An 8,721-nucleotide genomic window follows, 5' to 3' on the forward strand; every position below is an offset into this window, starting at 1 on the left:
AGTGTGGTTTGCGAAGCTATGCTCCAATGGAAATCTTTTCTGAGAAGCCCTGATTTCTTTCTCTTGCTTTCATTAGAGACAAATATCTTCTGCCCCATGCTCTTCAATTTTCTAGGACTTAACTTCCCCTTCAACGATCATTCTTCTAGGTTACAAAGAAAATCAAAGCCCTTTGCATGGCTTACAAGGGACTGGAGGACCTGGCTCTTGCTCTTTTATTGCTTTTGAGGACATGGGGCCGTCTGTGATTTTTAACGAACTCTATGTTAAACATTTTCTAATTTCCATTTTGAGTCTTGTCTAAAATGTGTGAGAGTAGTGGAGATATTGGGATTTGGTTTAGAAATCCCAGAAACACCACATCCAGATGTCGTATGTTTTCTGCTTTATAATTTCATATCCTGTGAAGGTTTCAAATGTGATTCTACAGAAATTCATACTCAATAATTTAATCAGAACAATAAGCCTCTGCCCCATATAATAAAACCAAATGTTATTTTACTTCAAAATTTTAAGTTTTTGGTATGTATTGAGGCTAATACTGTAAACACTCTGTGCCATAATTCCTAAACTGTAATATGGTTTAATGTATCTACTTTCTACATTTAAAACATGTACTTTGCCACTGAGGAACTGAGAATATTGCTGAGCACATATTAAATAACCATTTTTTTCTTGATTTTTAAATAGTTATCATTTTATAGTTTTCTCTTGTTTAGTTTGAAGCTTACTAGGATTTTGTCATTGATATGTATATATATATATATACACATATACACACACACAAGTATATACATATGTAATTGATATATACATATATGTTTTATATATGTGTATATACACACTTATGTGAATATATGCATGTGTACATAACATTAATTTTTTGACCAATAAAAATTGCATAATTATGTATTGTGTATATTATAAAAGTTTGATAGGTATATATATTGTAAAATGTTTAATACAATTAAGTTGATGAATATTTATGTCACCTTACATGGTTATGTTTTTTGTAGTGAGAGCATTTGAGGTCTCCTACTGTTGCAGCAAATTTTAAGCATACAAAACACTGTTATTAACTACATCTTAAAGCTATACATTAGACCCCCAAAACTTATTTATCTTATAACTGAAAGTTTGTACTCTGAACACCTCATCATTTTTTCTACCTCCAGGCCTGGTCATTACCATTGTACTCTCTGCTTCTATGAGTTCAGGCTTTTTAAATTCTCCATTTAAGTGAGAACGTACAGTGTTTGTCCTTCTGTGCCTGGCTTATTTTGCATAGCATAATGTACCCAGGTCCATTCATGTTGTTGAAATAGCAGAATTTCATTCTTTTTTATGGGTGAATAATATTCAGTTGTCTATTTATACCACATTTTCCTTATCCATTCAGCATCTACAGATAAGTCATTTAAAAAAAAAATACCCTTGACAGTTGTGAATAATACTGCATTGAATACAAGGGTGCAGATAATTTTTGAGATGCTGATTTTATTTTGTTTATAGACAGAAGTGGAATTTCGGGATTGTACGATAGTTCTATTTTTTAAAATAACCTGCATACTAATTTTCATAATGACTCTTCCAGTTTGCAACTCATTAAGAATGTACAGAAATATTTGGTAACATCCTTGTTAACACTTGTCATGTTTCTTTTTTTGATATTAGCCATTCCAACTGCTGTAAACTGGTATCCTTTGATTTGCAATTTTCTCATGAATGGTAATGTTTAGCATCTTTCTACACACCTGTTGGCCATTTGAATATGTTTGTAAAAAATATTTAGTCTTGGTCAGTGGAGCCAAGAGGGCCGAAGAGGAACAGCTCCCATCTACAGCTCCCAGCGTGAGTGATGCAGAAGATGGGTGATTTCTGCATTTCCAACTAAGGTACCAGGCTAATGTAACTGGCGAGTGCCGGTCAGTGGGTGCAGGACAGTGGGTACAGTGCACTGTGCATGAGCCAAAGCAGGGTGAGGCATCGTCTCATCTGGGAAGAACAAGGGGTCAGGGAATTCCCTTTCCTAGTCAAAGAAAGGGGTGACAGATGGCACCTGGAAAATCGGGTCACTCTCACCCTAATACTGAACTTGTACAACCAGCTTCACAAACAGCACACCAGGATATTATATCCTGCACATGGCTCGGAGGGTCCTATGCCCATGGAGCCTTGCTCATTGCTAGCACAGCAGTCTGAGATCAAACTGCAAGGTGGCAGTGTGGCTGGGGGAGGGGCGTCCACCATTGCTCAGGCTTGAGTAGGTAAACAAAGCAGCCGGGAAGCTCGAACTAGGTGGAGCCACCACAGCTCAAGGAGGCCTGCCTGCCTCTGTAGGCTCCACCTCTGTGGGCAGGGCACAGACAAACAAAAGACAGCAATATCCTCTGCAGACATAAATGTCCCTGTCCCACAGCTTTGAAGAGAGTAGTGGTTCTCCGAGCACACAGCTTGAGATCTGAGAATGGGCAGACTGCATCCTCAAGTGGGTCCCTGACCCCCGAGTAGCCTAACTGGGAGGCACCCCCCAGTAGGGGTGGACTGACACATCACATGGCCGGGTACACCTCTGAGACAAAACTTCCAGAGGAACCATCAGGCAGCAGCATTTGCAGTTCACCAATATCTGCTGTTCTGCAGCCACTGCTACTGATACCCAGGTAAACAGGGTCTGGAGTGGACCTCCAGTAAAGTCCAACAGACTTGCAGCTGACGGTCCTGACTGTTAGAAGGAAAACTAACAAACAGAAAGGACATCCATGCCAAAAACCCACCTGTACATCACCATCATCAAAGACCAAAGGTAGATAAAACCACAAAGATGGGAAAAAAAACAGAGCAGAAAAACTGGAAACTCTAAACATCATAGCATCTCTCCTCCTCCAAAGGAATGCAGCTCCTCACCAGCAACGGAACAAATCTTGATGGAGAATGACTTTGATGAGTTGAGAGAGGAAGGCTTCAGAAGATCAAACTACTCTGAGCTAAAGGAGGAAGTTCAAACGAATGGCAAAGAAGTTAAAAACTTTGAAAAAAATTAGATGAATGGCTTACTAGAATAACCAATGCAGAGGAGTCCTTAAAGGACCTGATGGAGCTGAAAACCATGACACAAGAAATATGTGATGAATGCACAAGCCTCAGGAGCCGATACGATCAACTGGAAGAAAGGGTATCAGCGAAGAAAGATGAAATGAATGAAATGAAGCATGAAGAGAAGTTTAGGGAAAAAAGAATAAAAAGAAACAAACAAAGCTTCCAAGAAATATGGGACTATGTGAAAAGACCAAATCTATGTCTAATTGGTGTACCTGAAAGTGACGGGGAGAATGGAACCATGTTGGAAAACAATCAGCAGGATATTATCCAGGAGAACTTCCCCAATCTAGTAAGGCAAGCCAACATTCACATTCAGGAAATACAGAGAACACCACAAAGATACTCCTCAAGAGGAGCAACTCCAAGACACATCATTGTCAGATTCACCAAAGTTGAAATGAAGGAAAAGATGTTAAGGACAGCCAGAGAGATAGGTCGGGTTACCCACAAAGGGAAGCCCATCAGACTAACAGCTGATCTCTCACCAGAAACTCTACAAGCCAGAAGAGAGTGGGGGCCAATATTCAACATTCTTAAAGAAAAGAATTTTCAACCCAGAATTTCATATCCAGCCAAACTAAGCTTCATAAGTGAAGGAAAAATAAAATCCTTTACAGACAAACAAATGCTGAGAGATTTTGTCACCATCAGACCTGCAATAAAAGAGCTCCTGAAGGAAGCACTAAACATGGAAAGGTAAAACTGGTACCAGCCACTGCAAAAACATGCCAAATTGTAAAGATCATCGAGGCTAGGAAGAAACTGCATCAACTAATGAGCAAAATAACCAGCTAACATCATAATGACAGGATCAAATTCACACTTAACAATACTAACCTTAAATGGAAATGGGCTAAATGCTCAAATTAAAAGGCACAGACTGGCAAATTGGATAAAGAGTCAAGACTCATCAGTGTGCTCTATTCAGGAAACACATCTCATGTGCAGAGACACACACAGGCTCATCATAAAGGGATAGAAGAACATCTACCAAGCAAATGGAAAAGAAAGAAAGGCAGGGGTTGCAATCCTAGTCTCAGATAAAACAGACATTAAACCAACAAAGATCAAAAGAGACAAAGAAGGCCATTACATAATGGTAAAGCGATCAATTCAACAAGAAGAACTAACTATCATAAATATATATGCACCCAATACAGGAGCATCCAGATTCATAAAGCAAGTCCTTAGTGAACTACAAAGAGACTTAGACTACCACACAATAGTAATCGGAGACTTTAACACCCCACTGTCAACATTAGACAGACCAACACAACAGAATGTTAACAAGGATATCCAGGAATTGAACTCAGCTCTGCACCAAGCGGACCTAAGAGGCATCTACAGAACTCTCCATCCCAAATCAACAGAATATACACTATTTTCAGCACCACACCACACATATTCCAAAATTGACCACATAGTTGAAAGTAAAGCACTCCTCAGCAAATGTAAAAAAAAAAAAAAGAAATCATAACAAACTCTCTCAGACCACAATGCAATCAAACTAGAACTCAGTATTAAGAGATTCACTCAAAACTGCTCCACTACATGGAAACTGAAGAACCTACTCCTGAATGACTACAGGGTACATAACGAAATGAAGGCAGAAATAAAGATATTCTTTGAAAGCAACGAGAACAAAGATAAAACATTCCAGAATCTCTGGGACACATTCAAAGCAATGTGTAGAGGGAAATTTATAGCACTAAATGTCCACAAGAGAAAGCAGGAAAGATCTAAAATTGACACCTTAACATCACAATTAAAAGAACTAGAGAAGCAAGAGCAAACACATTCAAAAGCTAGTAGAAGTCAAGAAATAACAAAGATCAGAGCAGAACTGAAGGAAATAGAGCCACAAAAAACCCTTCAAAAAATCAATGAATTCAGGAGCTGTTTTTTTGAAAAGATCAACAAAATTGATAGACCGCTAGCAAGACTAATAAAGAAGAAAAGAGAGATGAATCAAATAGACGCAATAAAAAATGACAAAGGGGATATCACGACTGATCCCACAGAAATACAAACTACCGTCAGAGAATACTATAAAGAACTCTACATAAATAAACTAGAAAATGTAGAAGAAGTGGATAAATTCCTCGACACATACACTCTCCCAAGGCTAAACCAGGAAGAAGTTGAATCTCTGAATAAACCAATAACAGGCTCTGAAATTGATGCAATAATTAATAGCTTACCAAAAAAAAAAAAAAAAGTCCAGGACCAGATGGATTCACAGCCGAATTCTACCAGAGGTACAAGGAGGAACTGGTACCATTCCTTCTGAAATTATTCCAATCAATAGAAAAAGAGGGAATCCTCCCTAACTCATTTTACGAGGTCAGCATCATTCTGATACCAAAGCTGGGCAGAGACACAACAAAAAAAGACAATTTTAGACCAATATCCTTGATGAATATTGATGCAAAAATCCTCAATAAAATACTGGCAAACTGAATCCAGCAACACATCAAAAAACTTATCCACCATGATCAAGAGGGTTTATCCCTGGGGATACAAGACTGGTTCAACATAGAAAAATCAATAAATGTAATCTAGCATATGAACAGAATCAAAGCCAAAAACTACAAGATTATCTCAATAGATGCAGAAAAGGCCTTTGACAAAATTCAACAACACTTCATGCTAAAACCTCTCAATAAACTAGGTATTGATGGGACGTATCTCAAAATAATAAGAGCTATCTATGACAAACCCACAGCCACTATCATACTGAATGGACAAAAACTGGAAGCATTCCCTTTGAAATACTGGCACAAGACAGGGATGCACTCTCTCACCACTCCTATTCAACATAGTGTTGGAAGTTCTGGCCAGTGCAATCAGGCAGGAGAAGGGAATAAAAGGCATTCAATTAGGAAAAGAGGAAGTCAAATTGCTCCTGTTTGCTGCTGACATGATTGTATATCTGGAAAACCCCATTGTCTCAGCCCAAAATCTCCTTAAGCTGATAAGCAACTTCAGCAAAGTCTAAGGATACAAAATCGTTGTGCAAAAATCACAAGCATTCTTATACACCAATAACAGACAAACAGAGAGCCAAATCATAAGGGAACTCCCATTCAAAATTGCTTTAAAGAGGATAAAATACCTAGGAATCCAACTTACAAAGGATGTGAAGGACCTCTTCAAGGAGAACTGCAAACCACTGCTCAATGAAATAAAAGAGGATACAAACAAATGGAAGAACATTCCATGCTCGTGCGTAGGAAGAATCAATATTGTGAAAATGGCCATACTGCCCCAGGTAATTTATAGATTCAATGCCATCCCCATCAAGCTTCCAATGACTTTCTTCACAGAATTGGAAAAAAAACTACTTTAAAGTTCATATGGAACCAAAAAAGAGACTGCATCACCAAGTCAATCCTGAGCCAAAAGAACAAAGCTGGAGGCATCACACTACCTGACTTCAAACTATACTACAAGGCTACAGTAACCAAAACAGCATGATACTGGTAACAAAACAGAGATATAGACCAATGGAACAGAACAGAGCCCTCAGAAATAATGCCGCATATGTACAACTATCTGATCTTTGACAAACCTGACAAAAACAAGTAATGGGGAAAGGATTCCCCATTTAATAAATGGTGCTGGAAAAACTGGCTAGCCATATGTAGAAAGCTGAAACTGGATCCTTTCCTTACACCTTATACAAAAATTAATTCAAGATGGATTAAAGACTTAAATGTTAGAGCTAAAACCATAAAAACTCTAGAATTAGACCTAGGCAATACCATTCAGGACATAGGCATGGGCAAGGACTTCATGTCTAAAACACCAAAAGCAATGGCTACAAAAGCCAAAATTGACAAATGGGATCTAATTAAACTAAAGAGCGTCTACACAGAAGAAACCACCATCAGAGTGAACAGGCAAAATATGGAATGGGAGAAATTTTTTGCAATCTACTCATCTGACAAAAGGCTAATATCCAGAATCTACAATGAACTCAAACAAATTAACAAGAAAAAAACAAACAACCCCATCAACAAGTGGGTGAAGGATATGAAAAGACACTTCTCAAAAGAAGACATTTATGCAGCCAAAAAACACATGAAAAAATACTCACCATCACTGCCCGTCAGAGAAATGCAAATCAAAACCTCAATGAGATACCATCTCACACCAGTTAGGTTGGCGATCATTAAAAAGTCAGGAAATGACAGGTGCTGGAGAGGATGTGGAGAAATAGGAACATTTTTACACTGTTGGGACTGTAAACTAGTTCGACCATTGTGGAAGTCAGTGTGGCGATCCCTTAGGGATCTAGAACTAGAAATACCATTTGACCCAGCCATCCCATTACTGGGTATATACCCAAAGGACTATAAATCATGCTGCTATAAAGACACATGCACACGTATGTTTATTGAGACATTATTCACAGTAGCAAGGACTTGGAACCAACACAAATGTCCAACAATGATAGACTGGATTAAGAAAATGTGGCACATATGCACCATGGAATACTATGCAGCCATAAAAAAGGATGAGTTCATGTCCTTTGTAGGGACATGGATGAAGCTGGAAACCATCATTCTCAGCAAACTATCACAAGGACAAAAAACCAAACACTGCATGCTCTCACTTATAGGTGGGAATTGAACAATGAGAATACATGGAAACAGGAAAGGGAACATCACACACCAGGTCCTGTTGTGAGGTGGGGGAGGGGGGAAGGATAGCATTAGGAGATATACCTAATGCTGAATGACGAGTTAATGGGTGCAGCAAACCAACATGTCACATGTATACATATGTAAAAAACCTGCACGTTGTGCGTCTGTACCCTAAAAGTTAAAGTATAATAATAATAAAAAAAGTTTAGTCTTTTGCTATTTTTTAGTTGGGTATTATAATTACTATTGTTTAGCTTCTGATTTGTATGAGTTTCTGCTATATTTTGAATACTAACCTCTTATCATATATGGTTTGCAAATGTTTTATCCCATCTTAAATGTTTTCTTATTTTTTGCTGTACACAATAGTTTAATACACTACAATTTTGTGTCTTGTTTTATTGCTATACTTTTGATATCATATTTAAAAAAAAAATTGCCAAGGCCAGTATCATGGATGCTTTTCATATGCTTTTCTAAAAATTTTCTTTTAAGGATTTATGTATTAAATTTAAGTCTTTATTTTAAGTCAATTTTTGTGTCTGGTGTAGGAAATATGACCAAGTTTTATTATTGTGCTTGCGAGTATCCAGTTTTCTCAGCACTAAGTATTGAAAAGGCTACACTTTTTGTATTGCGTATTCATAGTGCCCTTGTCAAAGATTAACTTTAGGTGCATAGATTTACTTCTGGGCTCTGTATTCTGTTCCATTGGTTTTTGTGTTTGTTCCTATAAACATTCCATTCTATTACGTTTACTGTAGTCTTGAAATGTAGTTTTAAATAATAAAGTATAATGTCCCCAGATTTCGTTTTATTCTTCATGATTGCTTTGGACATTCAATATTTCTTATAGGTTTATATACTTTGCAGACTTTATTTTCTATTACTGTAAAAAGTGGCACAGGAATTTTGATAGGAAGTTGAATTAATCTACAGATTGCTTTGGATAATATGGCACTTAGACAAT

The sequence above is a fragment of the Homo sapiens genome, unplaced genomic scaffold (assembly GCF_000001405.40).
Source record: "Homo sapiens unplaced genomic scaffold, GRCh38.p14 Primary Assembly HSCHRUN_RANDOM_124".
In the NCBI taxonomy this organism is placed as follows: domain Eukaryota; kingdom Metazoa; phylum Chordata; class Mammalia; order Primates; family Hominidae; genus Homo; species Homo sapiens.